Source organism: Homo sapiens, chromosome X, assembly GCF_000001405.40.
Source record: "Homo sapiens chromosome X, GRCh38.p14 Primary Assembly".
Taxonomy (NCBI): Eukaryota; Metazoa; Chordata; class Mammalia; order Primates; family Hominidae; genus Homo; species Homo sapiens.
Window position 1 is genome coordinate 65,822,481 of NC_000023.11, and position 26,191 is coordinate 65,848,671.

The following is a 26,191-nucleotide window of genomic DNA, read 5'->3' on the forward strand; positions in this document are numbered from 1 at the left end:
CAAGAGAACACTTATATACTGTTGGTGGGAGTTCAGCCATTGTGGAAAGCAGTGTGGTGATTCCTCAAAGAGCTAAAAACAGAACTACTATTAAACCCAGTAATCCCATTACTGGGTATATACTCAAAACAATATAAATACTTCTACCATAAAGACACATGCATGTGTATATTCACCCCAGCACTATTCACAATACCAAAGACATGGAATCAACCTAAATGCCCATCAATGACAGACTGCATAAAGAAAATGTACATATAAACCATGGAATAATATGCAGCTATAAACAAGAATGAGATCATGTCCTTTGCAGGAACATAGATGGTGCTGGAGGCCATTATCCTTGGCAAACTAATGCATGAACAGCAAACAAAACACCACATGCCCTCACTTATAAGTGGGAGCTAAAAGATTCAAACACATGGACATAGAGAGGGGAACAACGGACACTGGGGCCTACTTGAGGGTGGAGGGTGGGAGAAGAGAGATGATCAGGAAAAATAATTATTGGGTACTAAGCTTAGTACGTATGTGATGGAATAATCTTTACAAAAAAAGTGACACAAGTTTACCTACATAACAAACTTGCACATGTACCCCTGAACCTAAAATAAAAGTTTTTTTTTTTTTTTAATGAATTTCATGAGAAGTAAAGGAGGAGGCCTAGCCTGGCAACTATTTGGTGTCATGATATCTGGGGACTTTAACTAATCACGGTTCAAAGTAAGACAACAAAATATTGTTGCTATGTTGCTGCTAAAAAGAAATTGGAATGTCAGAAAGACCATTTTAGATTTGATGTTAGGATGCAAGGCAAGTTGCAAAATCAGGGAATGAGAAATAGTGTAGGTGAGGGTGTGTGTGCGTGCAGGTATCTTAAGACCAAGGTAGGATGGTGTAGGTTGGTGTATTAGTCCGTTTTCACGCTGCTGATAAAGACAAACCTGAGACTGGGCAATTTACAAAAGAAAAAGGTTTAATTGGACTTACAGTTCCACGTGGCAGGGGAAACCTCACAATCATGGCAGAAGGCAAGGAGGATCAAGTCAGATCTTACATGGACAGCAGTAAGCAGAGAGAATGAGGAAGACGCAAAAGCAGAAATCCCTGATAGAATCATCAGATTTGTGAGACTTATTCACTACCATGGGAACAGTATGGGGGAAACCACCCCCGTGATTCAATTGTCTCCCACTGGGTCCCTCCCATAACATATGGCAATTATGGGAGTACAACTCAGGATGAGATTTGGGTGGGGACACAGAGCCAAACCATATTATTCCACCCCAGCCCCTGCCAAATCTCATGTCCTCACATTTCAAAACCAATCATGCCTTCCCAACAGTCCCCCAAACTCTTAACTCATTTCAGCATTAACCCAAAATTCCACAATTCAAAGTCTCATCTGAGACAAGGCAAGCTCCTTCCACCTATGAGCCTGTAAAATCTGCAGAGAGGTGAACTAACATTTGTACAGCTACTTTTTCTTTGTGGGTATTTTCTGCTTTCTGGTTTGCAGTAGGCTGAAAACACAGACATGGCCCCAGTCAGAAGGCTGCTGCTGAGAGTTAGAGAAACCAACAGAGCTTTTGGTAGTGCCTTGGTGCTGGAGAAACAAAACAGGAGAATATGGCAGAGCACAGTTACATGAGAAAGGCAGAGAGCTGAGCCTATGAATAGCTGGTTTTTGCCTTAAGATGGTTGCCAAATTCTGGAGCTCAGAAGGCTAAAAAGCTAAAGAGAAATGGCCATATTGCCCAAGGTAATTTATCGATTCAATGCCATCCCCATCAAGCTACCAATGACTTTCTTCACAGAATTAGAAAAAACTACTTTAAAGTTCATATGGAACCAAAAAACAGCCCACATCACCAAGTCAATCCTAAGTCAAAAGAACAAAGCTGGAGGCATCATTCTACCTGACTTCAAACTAAACTACAAGGCTACAGTAACCAAAACAGCATGGTACTGGTACCAAAACAGAGATATAGATCAATGGAACAGAACACAGCCCTCAGAAATAACACCGCATATCTACAACTATCTGATCTTTGACAAACCTGATGAAAACAAGCAATGGGGAAAGGATTCCCTATTGAATAAATGTTGCTGGGAAAACTGGCTAGCCATATGCAGAAAGCTGAAACTGGATCCCTTCCTTACACCTTATACAAAAATTAATTCAAGATGGATTAAAGACTTAAACGTTAGACCTAAAACCATAAAAACCCTAGAAGAAAACCTAGGCATTACCATTCAGGACATAGGCATGGGCAAGGGCTTCATGTCCAAAACACCAAAAGCAATGGCAACAAAAGCCAAAATTGACAAATGGGATCTAATTAAACTAAAGAGCTTCTGCATAGCAAAAGAAACTACCATCAGAGTTAACAGGCAACCTACAAAATGGGAGAAAATTTTCGCAACCTACTCATCTGACAAAGAGCTAATATCCAGAATCTACAATGAACTCAAACAAATTTACAAGAAAAAAACAAACAACCCCATCAAAAAGTGGGTGAAGGACATGAACAGACACTTCTCAAAAGAAGACATTTATGCAGCCAAAAAACACATGAAAAAATGCTCACCATCACTGGCCATCAGAGAAATGCAAATCAAAACCACAATGAGATACCATCTCACACCAGTTAGAATGGCAATCATTAAAAAGTCAGGAAACAACAGGTGCTGGAGAGGATGTGGAGAAATAGGAACACTTTTACACTGTTGGTGGGACTGTAAACTAGTTCAACCCTTGTGGAAGTCAGTTTGGTGATTCCTCAGGGATCTAGAACTAGAAATATCATTTGACCCAGCCATCCCAAAGGACTATAAATCATGCTGCTATAAAGACACATGCACACGTATATTTATTGCGGCACTATTCACAATAGCACAGACTTGGAACCAAGCCAAATGTCCAACAATGATAGACTGGATTAAGCAAATGTGGCACATATACACCATGGAATACTATGCAACCATAAAAAAGGATGAGTTCATGTCCTTTGTAGGGACATGGATTAAATTGGAAATCATCATTCTCAGTAAACTATCGCAAGGACAAAAAACCAAACACCGCATATTCTCACTCATAGGTGGGAATTGAACAATGAGAACACATGGACACAGGAAGGGGAACATCACACTCTGGGGACTGTTGTGGGTGGGGGGAGGGGGAGAGGGATCGCTTTAGGAGATATACCTAATGTTAAATGACGAGTTAATGGGTGCAGCACACCAGCATGACACATGTATACATATGTAACTAACCTGCACATTGTGCACATCTACCCTAAAACTTAAAGTATAATAATAATAAAATGAAAAAGAAAAAAAAAGAAAACTTTTGAAAGTAAAGTGCCATTAAACTGTGTCGAGTCAAGTATTAAAATTCTGGACCCATCAAGGGTAAACATGCCAAATTCTCCATTGGAAACCCTGGAGAGCTAACATTCCAAAAACCAGAGGTATTCTGGTTTACCGTGAAAGAGAAAGAGAAAAAATAGCCAATAGAAACAAAACAGACCCATAGATGTTTCAGATATTATTGTTATCAGACAAGGACTTTTAAATAATTATGATTAATATGTTCACAAAAATAGAAAAGAAAAAGAAAAAAGATAGCTAAAATAAGGAGAACTCCAGAGAGCTAAAATCTATTTAAAAGAACCAGATGGGAATTCTAGAAGGAAAAGAGCACACAAATTGAAATAAAGATCTCAACAGATAGATTTAAGAGCAGCTTAGACCATGTAAAAGAAATGATTAGTAAACCAAAAGACATAAATATACCTCTCTCAATAGCTAGCAAAATAAGTAGACAAAAAGCTGGTAGTTGAGATGAGAAAGTTTGATAGGTGATAGTCTGAGCAGATGATCATTGGAAGTGTAATAAGGTATAGTATATGTGGGGTTGCTGGAGATGGGAGGTTGGGTAGGAGAGCTGGCAAAGAGATAGGCAGGACTTCAGTCTTAGAGGGAGCATAGCAGAGTGGAAGTCATATGTGGGTTCAAATCCCAGCCTTATCACTTCAAGGTTATGAGACCTTGGGCACCTTTCTTAACCTTGATTTCTTCATTTGTAAAATGAGGCTTAGAGTATTACCTACTTTAGAGGGTTGTTGTAAAAATCAAATTTAAATGAGACAATGCTTGTAAAGTGTGTAGATGGTGACAAGGCCCATAGAAGTTGCTTGACAAATAGTAGCTGCTAACATTAGATGGCCTGGTATACTATGTAAGTTAGTAGTGTAAGGATTTAGATATCAAGAGACAGGCAAAACTGTTTTCTGCCTAACTTTCCTATTTAACTCCCCATCTAACCTTCTATTTCAGGAGATATAGGGAAAACTGGGACATAGAGGGAAACCTCATCCTTTTCTTCCATAAATCTGGCTTCTCATCTTTGTGGGCACAGAGTGTAAGAAGCAGTTTATGACCCAATATCATTTTTTGCTGGCTTTCAAAGGAACCAGGATAGAGGATAGGACCATGTGCCAGACCTTCTTTTCCAGGGACCCTTCTCTGCAAGCTGCAGGCTTTCTGGTTGACTCACTTGGTTTCTATGGGGATAGGGGTCTTGCTAAGGAGAAAGCCAGAGCACCCTGTGGCTAGAATCAGCTCCTGTTTCTGATTCTGCAGTACCAGGTGGGGGACTCCACTAAATGCTGCAGTGTGAGGTTGGGTTACAGTAGTTTGTTTCTGCTCTAACTCAATGGATTCCATGTTTTCTGAAGAGAGGTTCTGAGGTTTCATATTTTTGTAGGATTTTTTGACAAAGGCAAAGATAGCAGACGTGAAGTAGGGGCCTCTTTTCTCAGGCCAGGTTAAACATCCTCTCAGCTTCAGGACATGACACCAGACTTGATTTTGTCAATCACTTTGACAAAGAGCCTGGTTTCTACAAGGACAGACTTTCTGAGAAGAGTGTGAATATGTTTACAGGTATTCTGTGATTATGTTTATCATTCACAATTAGCTTAAAAGGCATACTAAATACCTAGAATTATTGGGAGTAAACTTGCAAAATCAAAATATTACTATGCCTTTATGATCCAAACAAAAAAAAATAATAATTCCATTAGTAGTTGCAAATTTTAATAACATTGATTGAGTATACATTTTGCTTCTAAGGATATGAAAACACATGGATGATAAATAAAAATTACACATGTTCTTGGGAAGACTTTGTATTGCTGTGACTAATGCACAAACATTAATTCCATGACTGGTTAAAAATCACATCTATTCTCTCAAAAATAATTTCCTTTGTAGACTTTTAGGAAAATGGTGGATAGGAGGCAAGATGCAGGTTTCATTTGGATGGACAGAAGAGCATGTAGACTTTTGCTCCAAGAACTACTGCAGGAGCATACCTGGAAAACCAAAGAATTCGTAGACCCTTTAAAAGAAGCAGTGTGCTGTTGAAAACTCCGAGAAAGAGCTGAAAAACTGAGTGCCCAAAGTGTGAAAGAGGGAAAGTCTGCCTCTGAACACACATCCTCAATGGGGAGCCTGAAAATCCAGATCACAGGAGAAGGATTTAACCTTACCTAGAACTGAAACAAATTTAGAGAGCCAAGCAAAATATAAAAGTAGAAGAAGCAGTGGAAAGGGCCCTGTAGGCACTCCTGGCCCCCAAGGAAGCCCAGGGAACCCATTTCTGATGTTATCTCACAGGGGTTTTTGGGGAGGGTGCCAGTGAAATTGGGGAAAGATCACAGGGAGAAGGAAACTTCCAGCTGAACTTTGTAATAATTTTGACCAAGCACAAATTTTCCAGGGCAGAATCCGGGAGTGGGGGTGAACAAGAAATGCAGATATGAGCACAGAAGCCACAGTGGGGAGGGGCAAAGCTGAAAGCCCTGTTTGCTTTCTCAGCAAGAAAATCCCTGTTTGCTTTCTCAACAAGGATGCTTGTAGCCTGGCTCAAGTTCCAAGCCCTGCTCACCGGCTGCCTGGATATAAACTTGTGCTGTTGGGGGAGTGTGGCAGAAGTAAGATTGGCCTTTCTGTCTGAGTAGGAGCTGGGTGAGGCCTGTCACTGCTGGCTTTCCCCTACTTCCCTGGTGACCTGTATAACACAACAGAGGCAGCCATAATCCCCTGGGAACATAACATCATCTGCCTGGGAAACACACCCCCATCCCCCATAGTGGCTGCAGCAAGCCCCACTCAAGAAGAGTCTAAGGTTAGATATGCCTAACCCTTTCCCCACCTGATGGTCTTTCTCTACCCACGCTGGTAGCCAAAGACAAGAAACATAATCTCTTGGGAGCCGTATGGCCCCATGCAACACCTAAGAAACCCAAGTACTTATCCAGGCAACCCTAGGGTAAGCTTGTATCCTCTCTATACTACCACAGCTGATGCTCTCTTTTGAAAGTGCCACTTCCTAGCTTGGGAACAACCAACTTAAACCACTACAGCAACTCATAACAGAACAAACCTGCCCCATGAGAAGAGAAATCAACAGCTAATCCCACCGCCTGTAACATCCTGGCTAGCCAGAGGTCCTGAGGCTATCCACATGACAATTTTACAGCCAGCACAACCAGCAGTTGAGAAAAACAGCACACTAAACAAAACTACAGTCAAGGTCCCACACAGAGTCCACTTCACTCCTCTGTTACCTCCGCTGGAGTAGGTGCCTGTCTCCACAACTGAGAAACCTGAAGATGGATCACATCACAGAACTTTTTGCAGACACTCCTCAGTACCAGCCCAGTGCCTGATAGCTCCATTGGTGGATAAACCCAGAAGAGAAATAACAATCATGGCAGTCAGGCTCTCAGGAAGCCCCATCCCTAGAGAAAGGGAGAGAGCATCACAACAAGGGAGCACTCTGTGGGACAAAAAAATATGAACAGTAGCCCTTGAACCCCAAATCCTTCCTCTGATATAGTCTACTTAAATGAGAAGGAACCAGAAAAACAATTCGGGTAATATGTCAAAGCAATGTTCCTTAACACCCCTAAAAGATCACACTAGCTCACCATCAATGGGTCCAAACAAATAATGAAACTTTGAATTGCCAGATGAATAATTCAGAAGGTGAATTATTAAGCTACTCAAGGAGGCACAAGAGAAAGGTGAATACCAACTTAAAATTTTTTTTTAGTGTTAGAGGATATGAATAAAAAATCTCCAGAGAAATAGATAGCACAAATAAAAAACAATCACAACTTCTGGAAATGAAGGACACACTTAGAGAAATGCAAAATGCAAATTAAAGTCTCAATAATAAAATTTAAAAAATAGAAGTAAAAACTTTAGAGCTGGAAGACAAGGTTTTGAATTAACCAAATCTGACAAAGATAAAGAAAAAAGAATTTAAAAAAGTAAACAAATCTTCCAAGAATTTTGAGATTATGTTAAATGACCAAACCTAGGAATAACTGGTGTTCCTGAGGAAGAAGAGAAATCTAAAAGTTTGAAAAAACATATTTGAGGGAATAATTGAGGAAAACTTCCTTGGCCTTGCTAGAGATCTAGACATCCAAATACAAGAAGTTCAAAAACACCAAGAAAATATATTGCAAAAAGATTATTGCCTAGGCACATAGTTATCAGAGTATCTAAAGTCAAGATGAAGGAAAGAATCTTAAGAGCTGTGAGGCAAAAGTATCAGGTAACCTATAAAGTAAAACTAATCAGATTAACAGCTGATTTCTCAGCAGAAATCCTACAGGCTAGAAGGGATTGGGGTCCTATCTTTAGCCTTAAACAAAACAATTGTCAGTCAAGAATTTTGTATTCAGTGAAACTAAGCTTCAAAAATGAAGGAAAGACACAGTCTTTTTCAGACAATGCTGAGAGAATCTGCCGCTACCAAGCCAGAACTACAAGAACTGCTAAAAGGACCTCTAAATCTTGAAACAAAAACTCAAAATACACGAAAATAGAACATTCTTAGTCAAAATACACAAAAATAGAACCTTCTTAGAGCATAAATCTCACAAGACCTATAAAACAATAACACAATAAAAAAAACTGAAAGGTATTCAGGCAACAACTAGCATGATGAATAGAATAGTGCCTCACATCTCAGTACTAATGCTGAATGTAAATGGCCTAAATGCTCCACTTAAAAGATACAGAATAGCATAATGGATAAGAATTCACCAACCAAATATCTGCTTTCTTCAAGAGCCTTACTTAATATATAAGGATTTATATAAACTTAAGGTAAAGGGGTGGAAAAAGATATTCCATGCAAATGGACGCCAAAAGCAGTAGCTATTCTTATATCAGACAAAACAAACTTTAAGGAACAACAGTTAAAAAAGACAAAGAGGGATATTATATAATGATAAAAGGTCTATCACAATCTAAATATATATGCATCTAACACTGCAGCTACCAGATTTATTAAACAATTACTGCAAGACCTAAGAACTGAGATAGATGGCAACACAATAATAGTGGGGGACTTCAATACTCCACTGACAGCAGTAGACAGGTAATCAACACAGAAAGTCAACAAAGAAACAATGAACTTAAACTGAATCCTGGCCTACTTTTGAGAGTTGTGGTTTCAACGTTACAAATTTCAGATCCCTTGTATTTCTATTTGGGTCTGTGTAGTTTGTGTGTCACTCAGAGGCCACTCTGAAAGTCTGGATGGCATTCCATACTTTGGTTCAGTTCTCATACATTTTAGATCTTGATTCTGATCAGTTTCATGTTGGGATCTGTCAGGTGTCTGCCCAGTACTTCCTATGCAGGTTTAAAGAGTGTCCATTTCTTTTCCTAGATTCTCCTCTTACTCTCTAGTTGTAAAAGTGAGGGGCATTGCTATCACCACTGAACAGGGGTGAGAGTCCAAACTCTTCACTATGTTTCCTCTGACAATGAGTTATTACAGCTGGGGGGCACCACCCTGGGTCATCTACTGCTTCCAGTTGGGGGAAAGGAGATGGACGTTCTGTTCCTTCTCTATTGACACTGCTGGCATGGGAGGAAAGCACCTGAGCCTGCCTGCTGCTATTGGGTGGAGTATAGGAGTTAGAACTCCCTGTTTGTGTGTGCTGGCACCCTCCTAGCAGAGGGAGAAAGAGCTCACCTGGGCTTGCCTGCTGACTAGGTGAAGAGTGGGAAATAATACTTTCTATCTGATCTCTGCTGGCACTGAAAAAAAGAGGATTGTCCACTGTGTTACGCTGTTGTAAGGCTGGTATTGTTAAAAAAAAAAAAAAAAGGGGTTTCTATCCTGCTTTGCTGTTCCCTTCCCTTTCCTTTGGCTAGAGAGAACAATCCTTTCTTTAGTCTTAACAAAATCTATTCTTACAAAAAATAGACCACAACATATATCTTACAACAACAACAACAACAACAAAATCTATTACTGTTGGAAGTTCTTGGTTGCAGTGCCCAGCCTGGGATACATAGAAGATACAAAAAAAAAAAAAAAAAATTCAGGGAATTCACTGCATTGTCATTCATCAAGACTGAAATATCTAGTCAGTCTGCCTTCCTCTTTTCAACTTTCTGAGTTCTTTTATAATTGTCTGTTGTGTTACTTCCAGGTTTTTAAGTGTAGTAATAGGGAAAGATCAGAGAAATGTGAGTTTATGTTATTTTGATGAGAACCAAAAGCATAAAATTATTTCATTTAAAATCTTTTCAAATGTTGCTTCAATACAGGCTATATGGTATAGTGGTTAAGAGCATGGATTCTAGAACCAGACTGCCTGGATTTAAGGAAGTCCTGGCTCTGCCACTTACTAGATGTGTAACCTTGTGAAAGTTATTTAACCTTTCTCTTTCTCAGTTTTTACATCTATAAAATGAATAATAATAGTACCTACTCCATAGACTTTCTAGGGGATTGAGTTAATATATGTAAAGTGCTTAGAACAGTGTCATAGAAGCTACAATTCTTGCATCCCATATTCCTGTTGAGAAGTTTGAGTTTAATCTGATTCTTGTTCCTTTGGAGATGAGCTTTTTTTTTCTTTAGCTAGCTTTTACATTTTTTCTCTTTCTTTTTAATGTACTTAAATTTTACTACAATGTGTTCAGATGTTTTTCTTTATGTCCCTATTGAGCACTTTGATCGCTATTCATCTGTGGTCTCTTTTCTAGATTCCAGGAAAATGTTTCCTCGTTATTTATTATAATAATTTCTCCTTTTTGCCTCTTATTTTAATACTCCTATTATCTGAGAAAATCAGTCTGTCTAATACGGAGGATAGAAGTGTGAGAAGCTATATTAGGAAACATTAGTCTAGGTGAGAGTTGATGAGGGCCTGACCTATGCATAATGGTGGGGCATGGATGAGAGTGACAGTGGATGTAAGGGAATTATGAGGAGAGAGAAGGAGAATAAGGAGAGGATCAGTCTATGTGCTGTATGCTTGGACCACTGGGAGTTTGAGAGGACCATTAAAGAACACAAAAGTCTGAAAGCAGTGCCAATGATGGGGATAGAAGAGGACTTGTGAAGCCTTTGAATATACTTTTATTTCCATCCCAGCTTGACAGAACTGTCCGGAGCCAGTTTCAATGACATTATGTGGCTGAGAACTGGGAATCCTGGATTTACTCCTCTGTGCCCAACACTCTTCTATTCTGTGGAAAAGGCAAACATAGTTTGATCACTGCAAGTCTGAATTCTCCTATGCTAAATGTGTTTCCCACTTCCAACCAACCACTCTACCAATTATATAACCATTCTTTACCTCACCCCTGTGCACTTCTTTTTATTCCCCAAAGTACTGTTATACACAACCCCTCATTATCACTTCTTATCAGTAATTATCCTCATTACACAGATGAAGAGCAGAGGCATGAAGAAATAAAGTTTCCTATCCAAGATCACACAACACATTAGTTATTATGTTGAATCTTCAGCCACATCCTAGCTGAGTATGTTTATCTCACATGTCCCTATTTAAAATAAAATATACATCACCAAGTTGGCCAGCAAATACTGGCTAATATGTCATTGAGCCCATACTCTGTGCCAGGGGTCCTGTAGTAGCTCTTAAATGTATTACATCATTTAATCCTTGCAATAGTCCTAGATAGTAGTATTAATATCCTCATTTACAAGATAAGGAAACAGGCTGGGTGTAAGTAGATAGCGCAAAGTCAAACAGCTTCAATGCAACAATAACTGATATTTGAATAGAAGCAAGATGGCTCTGGAGCCTGTGTCTTAAATCACTATGCAATACCCCTTCGCAGACTTTGGTTGAAGAAAAAATATCCAGCTTTCTACATATGGCTAGCCAGTTTTCCCAGCACCATTTATTAAATAGGGAATCCTTTCCCCATTGCTTGTTTTTGTCAGGTTTGTCAAAGATTAGATAGTTGTAGATATGCGGCATTATTTCTGAGGGCTCTGTTCTGTTCCATTGATCTATATCTCTGTTTTGGTACCAGTTCCATGCTGTTTTGGTTACTGTAGCCTTGTAGTATAGTTTGAAGTCAGGTAGTGTGATGCCTCTAGCTTTGTTCTTTTGGCTTAGGATTGCCTTGGCGATGCGGGCTCTTTTTTAGTTCCATATGAACTTTAAAGTAGTTTTTTCCAATTCTGTGAAGAAAGTCATTGGTAGCTTGATGGGGATGGCATTGAATCTGTAAATTACCTTGGGCAGTATGGCCATTTTCACGATATTGATTCTTCTTACCCATGAGCATGGAATGTTCTTCCATTTGTTTGTATCCTCTTTTATTTCCTTGAGCAGTGGTTTGTAGTTCTCCTTGAAGAGGTCCTTCACATCCCTTGTAAGTTGGATTCCTAGGTATTTTATTCTCTTTGAAGCAATTGTGAATGGGAGTTCACTCATGATTTGGCTCTCTGTTTGTCTGTTATTGGTGTATAAGAATGCTTGTGATTTTTGTACATTGATTTTATGTCCTGAGACTTTGCTGAAGTTGCTTATCAGCTTAAGAAGATTTTGGGCTGAGACGATGGGGTTTTCTAGATATACAATCATGTCGTCTGCAAACAGGGACAATTTGACTTCCTCTTTTCCTAATTGAATACCCTTTATTTCCTTCTCCTGCCTAATTGCCCTGGCCAGAACTTCCAACACTATGTTGAATAGGAGTGGTGAGAGAGGGCATCCCTGTCTTGTGCCAGTTTTCAAAGGGAATGCTTCCAGTTTTTGCCCATTCAGTATGATATTGGCTGTGGGTTTGTCATAGATAGCTCTTATTATTTTGAGATACGTCCCATCAATACCTAATTTATTGAGAGTTTTTAGCATGAAGGGTTGTTGAATTTTGTCAAAGGCTTTTTCTGCATCTATTGAGATAATCATGTGGTTTTTCTCTTTGGCTCTGTTTATATGCTGGATTACATTTATTGATTTGCGTATATTGTACCAGCCTTGCATCCCAGGGATGAAGCCCACTTGATCATGGTGGATAAGCTTTTTGATGTGCTGCTGGATTCGTTTTGCCAGTATTTTATTGAGGATTTTTGCATCAATGTTCATCAAGGATATTGGTCTAAAATTCTCTTTTTTGGTTGTGTCTCTGCCCGGCTTTGGTATCAGAACGATGCTGGCCTCATAAAATGAGTTAGGGAGGATTCCCTCTTTTTCTATTGATTGGAATAGTTTCAGAAGGAATGGCACCAGTTCCTCCTTGTACCTCTGATCGAATTCGGCTGTGAATCCATGTGGTCATGGACTCTTTTTGGTTGGTAAACTATTGATTATTGCCACAATTTCAGCTCCTGTTATTGGTCTAATCAGAGATTCAACTTCTTCCTGGTTTAGTCTTGGGAGAGTGTATGTGTCTAGGATTTTATCCATTTCTTCTAGATTTTCTAGTTTATTTGAGTAGAGGTGTTTGTAGTATTCTCTGATGGTAGTTTGTATTTCTGTGGGATCGGTGGTGATATCCCCTTTATCATTTTTTATTGCGTCTATTTGATTCTTCTCTCTTTTTTTCTTTATTAGTCTTGCTAGTGGTCTATCAATTTTGTTGATCCTTTCAAAAAACCAGCTCCTGGATTCATTAATTTTTTGAAGGGTTTTTTGTAGAAAGCTGAAACTGGATCCCTTCCTTACACCTTATACAAAAATCAATTCAAGATGGATTAAAGCCTTAAACGTTAGACCTAAAACCATAAAAACCCTAGAAGAAAACCTAGGCATCACCATTCAGGACATAGGCATGGGCAAGGACTTCATGTCCAAAACAACAACAGCAATGGCAACAAAAGACAAAATTGACAAATGGGATCTAATTAAACTAAAGAGCTTCTGCACAGCAAGAGAAACTACCATCAGAGTGAACAGGCAACCTACAAAATGGGAGAAAATTTTTGCAACCTACTCATCTGACAAAGGGCTAATATCCAGAATCTACAATGAACTCAAACAAATTGACAAGAAAAAAACAAACAACCCCATCAAAAAGTGGGCGAAGGACATGAACAGACACTTCTCAAAAGAAGACATTTATGCAGCCAAAGAACACATGAAAAAATGCTCATCATCATTGGCCATCAGAGAAATGCAAATCAAAACCACAATGAGATACCATCTCACACCAGTTAGAATGGCAATCATTAAAAAGTCAGGAAACAACAGGTGCTGGAGAGGATGTGGAGAAATAGGAACAATTTTACACTGTCGGTGGGACTGTAAACTAGTTCAACCATTGTGGAAGTCAGTGTGGTGATTCCTCAGGGATCTAGAACTGGAAATACCATTTGACCCAGCCATCCCATTACTGGGTATATACCCAAAGGACTATAAATCTTGCTGCTATAAAGACACATGCACACGTATGTTTATTGCAGCACTATTCACAATAGCAAAGACTTGGAACCAACCCAAATGTCCAACAATGATAGACTGGATTAAGAAAATATGGCACATATACACCATGGAATACTATGCAGCCATAAAAAATGATGAGTTCCTGTCCTTTGTAAGGACATGGATGAAATTGGAAATCATCATTCTCAGTAAACTATCGCAAGAACAAAAAACCAAACACCGCATATTCTCACTCATAGGAGGGAATTGAACAATGAGATCACATGGACACAGGAAGGGGAATATCACACTCTGGGGACTGTGGTGGGGTGGGGGGAGGGGGGAGGGATAGCATTGGGAGATATACCTAATGCTAGATGACGAGTTAGTGGGTGCAGCGCACCAGCATGGCACATGTATACATATGTAACTAACCTGCACAATGTGCACATGTACCCTAAAACTTAAAGTATAATTAAAAAAAATTAAAAAAAAAGAAAATATTGATCATTAACAGGTTGCTTTAACCCATTCATAATTTTTCTCATAATTTATGTTTTATCTTCTTTCTGATATTTTGCTATTTTCTTATCTGCTTATTTGCTCTGTAAAGGATGTTTTATTTACTTTTAAAATGTACTTTTATTACTTTATTACGGTAATCTTGAAATATAATCTTATTTAAAATTAAAAAAAAATATCCATAATAAAATTATAGAGTCTGGACTACTGGTTTTCAGACCTGGCTCTGCCACTAGAATTAAAATGTGCTATGTGACCCTGGGCCTTCTTCCTCTTCTGTAAGATGCAGATTTTGAACCAACTGGACACTATGGTCTCTTCTAGCAACTAGCCTGTAGTCAAACTGAACAATGGCCATTTCCTACCTGAAACCAAAGTGCCATTCTTGAAGCTGTGGAAACCATTCTGGAAATACCTGTGGTCTACACACTTTATGGGGTAGGGTGGGTGGGGGACACTGGATGCAGAGCAGCTACTCCAAACTTAGCCCCTTTCTCTCTCTTACCTACTTTCTAGTCATGCATGCTTCCAGTTCCAGTCCGTAGAAGGATGAAATGGGCCGGCCTCACCCCTATAGAAGAAGCCAGGTTCTACTAGGGAGCCAGTAGGCATCTGGCACAACAGAAAGGCAGAAAAAGAAGCAAGCCAGCTCCACCAGTATGCCGTTCCATGGTACCCTAAGCCAGGTTCAGGCCCTGCAGCCCTGTGTGGTCCACTTGCCTACCCAACCACAACTGGTGAGATTCTTTGCTAGCTAGCACCCAACAGTTCCAAAAGGATGCCCAGGATTCAGAGTGAGTTGGATACTCCCTTTGCCCATTTAAAATGGACCCTTAAAGACCCTTACATACTCTAGCAAGAGAATGGGTTTTTAACCTCTCTAAGGGTCCTTATGGTCTGAGGTTTTAAATTGCTGAGAAGGCCACCATCAGATAGCAGAGCGGAGCATGTCAAACCTTGCATTGCAGGCATTGACTTGTGCTCTTTCTTGCTCCATTGCCTGAGCAGATGCCTGTGAGGGTTCCCTGGCTGGTTCCATCTATCAACTCAACTTGGAGGAGAAGGCTTTTTGGTGCCTCAGACCCATCTCTGTGGATGAGCTGGACATGATTGACTTGACCTGCAGAATGACAGAAACGTGAGTGTTTGTGGTTCAGTGCTGGCTGGCTTGATTCCTTGGGGCATGCAATAGGTTCTGATGGTGACAGTGCTGTGGTGACTGGCATAGCCTGTACATTTGTTGGCTCAGGCTGCTTTTCAGGTGGCTTGGGCTGTGGCTTGGTTGGCTCACCCAGTTTATGCTGTTCCTGCTCTACTCCTCAGTTGGTTTGGCCTGAGCGTCAGTCACCTCAGCTGGTATCTTAGATACTTCGGTCTGCAGCTCAGCATGCTCTCTGGTCTGCTCTTCAGCTGACTTAGCCTGTGCCTGGCCCAGCTCAGTCTATACCTCACTGAGTTCACCCTGAATCTTATGGGGGTTCAGCCTGCTTCTTTGCCTGGACTTCAGTCAGCTCCACCTGTGCCTCTGCCTGATTCTTACATGGCTCAACTTCCTTCCTGAGTGGTTGAGCCTGCTTGTTGGCTGGTATGGCCTGTTCCTCATATGGCTCAGCTTGTTCCTTGGCTGGTTCAGCCTGTGCCTCAGCCTGCTTTTTATCAGGCTTGGCCTGCTTTTTGGCTTGTTGAGTCTGTACTTTAGCTGGCTTGACGTGTGTCTCAGCCTGTTCCTTGGATGCCTTGGCCAGTGCCTCAGTTTGCACCTGGGATGGTACAGACCGTACTTACACCCTGGATAACTTGGCTTGTGCCTCAGCCTGTTTATTGGCATTTTGGGATTGCTTCTTGGCTAATTTGACCTGTTCTGCTACCTGGTCTTTAGCTGGTTCCTGGGCTGGTTTGATCTGTTATCCAGCAGATTCTGTTTGCTTCTTTGGCAGTTTCCACCTGTGCCTCAGGCTACCCCTGGGCCTGCTGCTCAGCTGCTTTGGCCTGTGACTTAGGCTGCTTATCAGCTAGCTGGGCTTGTTTCTCAGCTACGTTGGCCTGCTCCTTGGCTACTTCAGTCTGTTCCTCAACCTGCACCTCCCATAGTTTGACCCATAACTCAGTGGGTTCAGCCTGCACCTTGACTGGCTTGGCCTGTGACTCAGCTGGTTCAACAAGTGCCGGGGCTAGTTTGACCTTTGCCTTGGGTGAGTTCACCTGTACCTCAGTCAGTTCAGACAGCACCAGAGCCAGCTTGACTTTTGCCTTAGGTGACTTAGCCTGTACCTCAACTGGTTCGGTTAGTGCCAGGGCCATATTGGCTTTTGCATTGGCCTTTGTCTTAGCTTTGTGGTTAGCTTGGTTAGCTTGAACTGCATCTGGGCCAGCATGGCTTTTGCCTCAACTGGTTCAACCTGTGCTTCCATAGGCTCAGCTTGTGCATTGGCCATCTCCTGGGCAAGTTCAGTCTGCATCTCTGCTGGCTGAGCCTGCTTCTTGATCTCCTGGGCTGGCTTGACCTGTGCCTCTGTCTGGGTGGGCGGGGCCTCCACTTTAGTGTCCTTCTGGGCCTCTGCTTCTTTGTCTTCCTCCTCCCGAAGCTGAAACTCATGAAATCCTTTGATGGTCTTCAGCACTGCAAATGAAGATTTGGGCAGAATGAGTCAGTGGGAAGGCGGAAGCAGCATATGGGAAGCAACAGAGGAGCCACATTGGCTTGGCTGTTCCCTACCAAACAAGCTGGAGACAGACCCTGCCTAAGCCCCCATAGTCTTTGTTACCATTTGTCTCCATGCAGGCAGCAATAAACCCTTCCCTTCAGACTCCTGTTCCTTATTCTGTTAACACCCCCAGGCGTTAACACCCCCAAGCTGGAAAGGGGTCGTAGAAACCAAATCTTCCTCCTTGGGGGATTCCAACCTAGACCCTCTAAGAAAGCAGTGGAGGGTGTGAAATGATTTCTGATATTGTAAGAGGAATAGCAGAAATTGCACATTTGCTCACAATAAAGCTGCATCACAAGCTTCACTCAAATATCAATTCTTTTTTGGCTCAGAAGCACAGCTTGTCTCATGGTGATCAAAGGCTCTGACTGGTCTTTATGTGTCTTTGAATAATGAAAAAGTGGGAAATTGGATTATTAAAAAATGCAACCTATTCAACAGAAAAAAATTTCCCAAATATGAGTCCCAGCGCAGGAAAAATGATGAGACGGTCCTGGTGGTGGAGAGGTTGGGGGCCACAGATGTGAGCCAAGCTCTCCTCTCTGTGAGGAAGAAATGATAGCCACCAAGGCCTGGAATGGTTATAGAACTTGCTTAAATTTTCACAGAGTTAGGCCCACAGCCCAGCAAAGTCAAAAACAAGCATAATCAGAAGACATTCATAGCATGGTGATTTTCAACTTGTGTAGACTCAGCTTTTCTTCCAATGATAACACACATGGATGCCTATGAAAGAAATTCAAGTAGAATTATTAAGAATAAAGACTCCAGTCCAAGAAGCTCCCTGATTAATTCTTTATGATCCCTCGCTCTACCTAACGTGCCCCTGAGGAACTCCAGGGTGCTGAGAGCACAGTTTAAAAATTATGAAACCCTGCACTTCCTGCTGATGACACAGATGGGGACTCCTGAAGCCCACTTTAGGGCCAGAGCTAGGTCTAGTACCTAGGTGTACAGCTCCTCAGTTTCGTGGTATCTCCCTGACACCTCACTGCTTTTTCTCTACAGATCATGCCTCACTGGTCAGTGAGATATAACCAAGGTATGGACAACCTGAACTTCCAGATCCTCAAAGGACTGGCTGAATCTTGGACACCTAAATAGTGGATCTCAAATTCTTACTTGTGTTTAATTGTACCCCTCCCAACTCCCCAGCAGTGGGAGGGCTTTCAGCCAAGGTAACCTGCTATGAAGTTGCCTGGGAGGCAGGAAGTGGATTAAAAAATCTTCCTAGTGTCAACTTCTACTCCTTTCTGTATCTCATCACTGCCTAGAAACTTCTAAAGCTTTCAAAAACCTCACCCACCCAACCTCCACAGTGTCCTGCCTTTTTGACTCTCTTTCACTTAATTATCCAGCTAAGTTATAAGCTTCCTGAGAGCAGGGAAAATGTTTGTTTCATTTCTACTTCCCTGATACCTGACACATCATAGACAGGTTTTAATAAACATTTGTTGGCTTGAACTCAACTCTCCCTACTCACATGTAGTACACAAAATGGAGATTATTAATCTCAGGCTCCAAGTAAGTAAATTTAAATTCAGAGAAGGGGAAGTAACTCCCAAGAGCACACAGAAGGTTAAGGATATTGCTAATACTCTGCTTTCCAGCTAACACTGGCCTTCCCATGGGGTACTGGTGAAGGCTGAGGGATTTCTAGGAACCATGGGGAAGGGCCAAATGCAGTGGGAAGAGGAAATTATAAAAGTAGAGAAGTGAGGGAGCTTCTGGGAGAGAGGGCTAGAACTCACTTTGAGTATAGACATGGGTATGAGGGAAGAGGATGGGTCCAGTGGGAGAGGCCCTGGTATTGCAGCTTGAACCTGTGTTTGTACTGTCTCTTTGTGCTCTTTTGCCAGTCTTCCCATCACAGGGTAGGCATCTTGCTAGTAGTTCCCAGGCATTTTCAGTGGATGCCTGTCCCAGAAAAGATAAATGGTAAGAGCACATTGACAGCAAATGCAGAGCCACCTAGAGCCCAGATGGGTCCTTTTAAATTATTAACTCTTGCGGTAACCCACAGAACAGGGGTGGAGAGTCTTTTGGGCCAGGTTGAGTACTCACTTTGGGGTTGACCAATGCAGGGAGGGAGGTGCAGAAGGCCTTAGGATTTGAGCCTACGCTGCCAGTGATCCTTGGCTGTTCTTCAGGAATATATACAGTGGAATGTATGGCCTTCACTGGCTGGGAGAAACAGGAGGAAGGGCTAACAGTGGTTAGTTTGCTTTTTGTTGGGCCCACAGAGGACCAGGATTCTTTGTGTTTGATAGACCCAGTAAATCTAGTGACTGGAATTCTAGCCTCATCTCTCTACCCATCCACTGTTTTGATGGCTGTAGGAACAATGTATGTCCCCAATTTATTTAGCCCTCTCTTCTCTCTGGCTTTTCTTGCCACTGCTGGCTTCTTACCTCGTATCCCATATCCCAATAACTTGGCCTCCCATGCTCTCAGGAAAGAGCTAGATACCCCAATACCTTTTCTGTGGGCTCTCACACTTGGTTACACCCGGGGCATCCCTTATGGGAGGATTTTAGGTGAAGGAGATTCAAGAAGCTCTATGTCCTTTCTTATACTATTATTTCCCACACTATGAGGATATCTTTTGCCTCATCCCTGTCACCTCCTTTACTTACCGAAATCCCCCAACACTCTGGATTCTGCAAACGCGCTTCTGACCTCTCCCTCTATGGGTAAAACAGAAATTAAGAATCTTTTTCCTACCCTATGCCCCAAGTTCAAATACCCCCGGAGAGATCAACATCCCTTCTGTGAGAAACTTCCAGTTATGGAGGAGGCTGTTTTGCTGGTGCTGTCTGGCTCTAAAACCAGAAGCTATAAGGAGGAAGCAGTGAGATCTCAGTAGATTCTGGAATACCTCAAAGGAGGTCTAGTTCTGGGATGAAGATCCCAACTGAGGTGGCATCCCAACTGAACCATACACCAATGTCATTGCTACTTCTGACTTATTCTCTGTACCACCTCAATCCCTCCTTCCATAGCCCTCCTTCCTCCTTCCTATCAGATGATAATTTCCTTGATAAGAGCCTTGAGCTTCACTGAAGGTTTTGGCCACCTGACATCTTAGGGTTTCACTTGTACTGGACTGGGTTAAGTATCACGTGACTCTCCAAAACAGTGATGGGAGCAGGTAATTACTTAAATAAGAAAAGGCCCACCTGCTGAAGGCACTTTTGACCCCATTTCTGTGGACATCAGCATGATAAATACTGTTGAGGATGGCTTGATCTGCCACTTTTAGCTCAGAAGCTTATGACCATGTTGTATAAGTGGTATCCATAGGCTCCAGAGGTCTATGCTGCCCATAGAACATCACGTCATCTAGGCGTGAGTAGTTCTTCAGGGAGTCTGAGGATTAGTTCTAACCTTCCCTTTCTTGGGGATCAGATAGCATGTGATGTGAATGTGGTTAGGCCCTTCCTTGTTCCGACTCCTATTTCAAACATCTTGCTTTGATTAATTTTTTAGCCATTTCCAGGTAGATTTTTCTGCTGCTTTCTGGGGAGTCCTTCTTGGCTTTGAAGGGTGGCTAGTCAGCTACAGTCAGGTGACTTGATTACAGAAGCCCTTGAAGGGCATTATTTTGCTTCCCCTCTGCTTCTATTTAGTGGATGCTTGGGTGCTCAGCATCCTCTAGAATGCTGTAGGCTCCTCCCTGTCACCATTCCTGCCCTCTTCAATTTCCTCAGGACATAGTTGTAGCTTCATATGTGGGTAGGTACTGGGGGCAGTAGTGATCCCTGACTCCTCTAAGATGGATGACATGCTTGGCAGTGTTGAAGGGATCGGAAATGAGGTAGACATGCTCAACTTGAAGAGCAGGGTTAGCACAGTCAGAGGGATGAAGTAAGATGGCTTAGACCACTAGGAAAAGGCATGCTCCAGAGGGTTAACATAGAAGGCAAAAAGGGGGCTGAAGCAGTGGAGATGCTGGTGGGTAATGCTGCCACCTCTGTGTATGTCCCCAGAGACCTAACATGGGCCACCTTCTGAAGACAGTGGGGCTCCAAGCCCTTGCCTAGGAACTTGGGGTGCTAGAGTGGTAGCCATAGGAGCAACCATATGGAAGGTGTCTGGAGTGCAGGTGAGGGTGGCATCAGAGATAGAGGGGTAGACAATGGGATTTTGCCAGGATTAGGGGTACTGGGCTCAGTGGCATAGTGGGTAATCATCTGCTACTCAAGCATCAGGTCCTGCTCAGATTGCTAAGGAAGCCTCCAAGCACCACAATCTCTGTCTCTGCTGGGATCCTGCATGTCCATTCCTACCATGGCCTCTGCTTTGTGGCCTAGATCTACCTCTCAGAGCTAAGTAAAGCCCATAAGTCTTGACATAGGATATGGCCCATGTCTAGGGGAGGAGGGACTGGGGAAGAGTTCTGGATACCATGAAGAACAGGGTCATGAACTCTCAGAAGGCAATGGAGCACGTATTGGGGGCTTATGAGACAGCATTTTCTGGGCTCTGAAATCTATTCTGCCATCAATTTGCTGTGTAACTTCAGGCATAAAGCTGCCTCTCTTAAGGCCCATCTGTAACTTAGGGAGGGAAAATCAGGAATTATAAGGAACCTCCCAGATTTGAAGTTTTATAGAACAGTAGGTAGATGAGACACAGGGTTTAATTCCTTTCAGGGCTTGCTTTGTTCCAGAGTTATGGATGTCTCTTTTTCAACAAGCCCAAACCTTTATTCAGCATTCCAAGAAGGTCAAAGACATAAAGAAGATAGAAATGGAACAGGGGATGGGGGCTCAAAGTCCCACATGCTGAGGACCCTTTTTCTTCTTCACTCAGAGCAGCCTTTTATAGAGAGGTAGAGTGAAAGCAGGGAAGAAGAGAGAACTGTCATGGCTGGGCTCAGTGGCTCACACCTGTAATCCCAACATTTTGGAAGTCTGAGGGGGGCGGATCACTTGAGGTCAGGAGTTCAAGACCAGCCTGGCCAACATGGCAAAACCCCATCTCTACCAAAAGTACAAAAAATTAGCTGGGCGTGGTGGTGTGAGCCTGTAATCCCAGCTACTCAGGAGGCTGAGGCAGGAGAATCGCTTGAACGTAGGAGGCAGAGGTTGTAGTGAGCCCAAATCATGCCACTACACTCCAGCCTGGGCAACAGAGCAAAACTCTGTCTCAATAAAAAGAGAGGGAGAGAGAGAGAGAGAGAGAGAGAGAGAGAGAGAGAGAGAGAGAACTGTCATTTTACTAAGCCCCTGCTAGCAGCCAGCACTGCAGTAGGCACTTTACACTCATCCAATTTAAAAGGCTCACCCACACTTCAGCAAAGTTCTCATTCTCCCCATTTCTCAGACAAGGACACTGAGACTCACTGAGATGATGCCACTTGCCCAAGGTAACGTAGCTAGGACATTTCAGAGCTGGGATTAAAACCCAGGCCATGTTCTGAATAGTGTACCAGGAAAGAAAGTAGAGAGTAATGACTATCTGTTGGGGAAAAGTATCAAGAGTGGGCATCACATTGTAAGAATGAGACCATTAAGAAGGGAGGTGGTAAGCTGAGAAAGAAAATTTACAAATCCTACTATTAGCCATGGGTCAAATAGGCATAGGACTTAGTGGCTCAGGACATACATATATACCCCGTACTGTAATATCTGTGCTGCCTTCGTGTGTGCCTGCGTGGGCATACATATGCATGAGGATATGAGCTCCCTAACTTTCTCTACTCCGAGGACCAACTTCCCCAGCTGTGGGCCATGTGTGAGGCATTGGGGCTGACCACCAGCTGCTGACACTACTCCTGCTACTCCTTCAACTGCTGCCTATGGTTCCCAGTGGAAACACATAAAACTTCTTCTATTTATGCCTCTCTGTCTGTAGGATCAGGGCGCTTTGCAAAGCTGTGCCTCTGTTTACCTGGGTCACAGTGCTTCTCATCACGTCTTTTGGGAGTGAAGAAGCAAAACTAGTAGCGATGGGACTAGAACATGTTTTCTAGGTCAGGCATTCCCTCCACATATCCAGTCACAATTCGTTCCCATTTTGGGCAGCAATTGTGATTTTCCCAATGGCCCACTTGTGAGAAGCAAAGACTCAGAGAAGGAAAGGATCTTTCCCAAGATCCAGTCCCAGTGACACAGATGGGACTGGAACTCAGTTCTGCCCTCCTGGCTTCTAGTCTAATGCTTTTTCCAGCACACTACACATTGAAAACAAAGTTCCCTGGCCCCTGAGGGCTTGAGGGCTACCCTCTTACATGGCATATCTTCAGCACAGCTGGCATTTACAGCCTGTGTTTTCAGTAACAGCAGAAGGGTATATTCTCCAAAGATTTCAGGAGTATTTTCAATCAGGAACTGAACCAGTTGGGTAACCTGAGAGCAAGGCCTGTGGTCAGTGGATGGGCCTGGAGTGAAGCCCCACTATAAGGGGCTGCTCAAGAATTGATGACTCTCTGCTTCCTATCAGATCAAATTCAACTCCCTTAGCCTGGAGAGCCTTGTATACTAGGCAAAAGAACAAGTATTTTTCAGCATATGCATGGCATTTCAAACACTGATTATTTTCATTTGACTAATGTAGACAGAAAAGTAAAGTGACTTATTCAAGATGATACAGTCAGTCACTGATTGGCCCATTTTGCTATACAACATGTATTTTTTCACTTGTCAAATATCCATTAAGAAGTGCTTGCTCTGTGCTTTGTGCTGGGTGAGGGTTTGGAGATCTAAAGGAATAAAACAAGGTCCCTGGTGTCAGGAAATTCATATTCTGGTAGAAGAGGCAAATAAAATCATTTTCCCTTTTATTTGGCTAGTGCTTTAGGGCTTCAAATCCCTTTTATATATGCCATCTATTCTTCCCTCCATAAGGCCCTAATACAAACCTCATTTTAGTGATGAAGAAATGAAGGCTCAGTGAGGTCACATGACTTGTCAGAATTTACATCGCTAGTGAGGAAGGCATTTCTGGTATTGACCCTTGCCCTTGTGATCTTTTCATAACATGGGGCGAGGAAGCATCTATAGGTAAAAGAGAGGTGGCTTGTAGGGCCCGATGGGGAAGGGGCAGTGAACTCTTTACCTTGCCTATATTCTGGCTCTCATCTTCTGGTCTTTTGCAGTTGGATAACCATAGCAAGTTGGGTGCAACACACAGGGCTAGGTTGAAAGCTATTATCTGGTTTGCCTCAGAGTTGGCCACAATGTGGCTCAGGATACCAAAGAGGTACTTTAGCAGCAGGCATTTGCCTTCTGGAAGCTGCACTACTGGTCTTGCCAGTGGGTGACAGATGAAGTCCAGAGGATGGGGGACAATTCAGGAAAGAGGAAGGTCAGTTTAATGTGTCTTTGTATATCTCTGTGGGGGTTGGGGGATAATAGCCATGTAAGGTCTGGCTAATTTTGTCAGAGCACTAGTGCTGATTAGAACTTTGGAGAATCTCCTCACCCTAGTATATAGCAGTGGGGAAATATTGAAGTGTAGAGAAGAGAAGTTACTTGTTTAAGGGCACACAACTGGTTTAAGGTAGAGCTTGAAATAGAAGTATATATGATGCATGAAGAATCCTGGTTGGAAATGTTTGAAGTATTGAGAAGTGACATTCCCTCCCCTTTTCTTCCTTTCTTCATCTGCATAACCGTTTTCACTTTTCTCTCCAAGTCTCAGGTATGAGTCTGGAATTAGGAATCTTACCTCTGGAGAGACTGGACTCTGCTGGCTGGTATGCCCCTCCATGGCTGTCATCCGTTGTCTGTACATGCCTGAGGACAGAATACTGTCAGGAATGCTGCACAGGAATTTCTGAGTGAAATTCACTCTTATAAAATGCACATGTCCTGGACCTAGACCTACACTCACTAAAGGGATAGCTGATGGATAAATAAATGCCCTTCTGGCCCATGCTGTTCTCCTGCCCTATGACCATTAAGCATCTCCACCTGCCACCTGAAGATGTGAAGGTTGGTTCAGGTAATAATAATATGGCTCTCTGTTCACATGAACAGTTCTGAGAAGTTCAGGGCTGTGTGCCTGAGGTAGGGGAGGGAAGTGTCTTGGTTTCTTCCTGGCATTCCCTCGAACCTTGGAGTGGACCACATGTACACAGGCAGACTTACAGTCAAGACAGATGCAGCCACAAACAATGACTCTCTAACCATGGACACCTGGGCCCCAGAATTCGGTTTCTCCTTTATCTCCTTGCAAGTCTTGGCACTGGCTGAGTGGCGGAAGATGCCAGCAGTGGTTGGGCCCTCCTTGTATGACAGCATCAGCATGTTCTTGGAAGATCCCCAGATGTTGGGCAGGTGCCCTCTAATCCAATTTCCAAGGTTTCCTGGGACATGACAATACACTTGCCACAAATTCCCTAGACCCCCATATATCCCCTCTATCCACAGGGTCCTGTAGACTATTCTTTTACCTGCTGCAGAACTCAACTCCACTCTAACATTCCAGATGGGTTTCTCAGTCTTTGCCTGACCACATGATCTTAATGGTGGCAAGTCAGTCACTGTGACTGTATAAGAGATTATGTGGTAAGCAAGGAGCATTGACAATCGCCATCAAAACACATTCTGAAAGCAGTTACCTTTCACATCTAAGCATTAATTGGAGGCTAGGTCTAGCTGGAGAGCTCTTGCCTGAGAAGATGGGTGTGTTCTACTGGGTTGAGGCCACTGGCTTAGCCTGTAGATTGAGACGTATGGGGATTATGCATACGCTGTTAGGATGAGGTACCCTCACTAGTAAGGCAGAGCATAAATGCATGAGGGGGCTGAGCCCTGATCTACAATGGCTTTGGAATCTTAAGCCTAGGCCCAGCCCTTAGGACACAGCTCTTTTGCCTTCAGCCAGAAGTGATTTATCATGATAAGCCTGGGCAGGTGGCTTGTTTGGTACAGTGTAGACAGATCCAGGCCAAAGAGCTTATGATAATTCTCTTCCTGTGGTGAATATACCATGGAACTTTCTAAGGGTAAGGTAGGGTTTCTCTGCAGGGTCCAGTACAGCAGGGACTTTCTTTTTCTTTAGTCTTTTCTTCACTCTAAGTTTTGTGAGTAGAAGTTGGGCGAGATGAAGTTAGGACACAGAGAGTTGGCAGTCCCCCAAAATACACCGGAAGAGTTAGATGGCAGTGAGAGGGATACTAGGAGTAGGGGAGCACTGTGGGGACAGAGGCAGAGGCTGGGAACACCAAGGTAAGAAGAGCAGGGAGGGTGTGGTATAGTATGAAATATATTTGGTCTTTCT

The 26,191-nt window shown here is 42.6% G+C and overlaps 1 annotated feature.

Annotated features, from left to right (window-relative positions):
* Nucleotides 6,431–6,643: a silencer, noted in NCBI's record as "fragment chrX:65048753-65048965 (GRCh37/hg19 assembly coordinates)". NCBI's record gives its function as "represses an EF-1alpha promoter that drives an FKBP-Casp9 reporter gene in an ReSE screen in HepG2 liver carcinoma cells {active_cell/tissue: HepG2}" and the evidence as "EXISTENCE:reporter gene assay evidence [ECO:0000049][PMID:32094911]".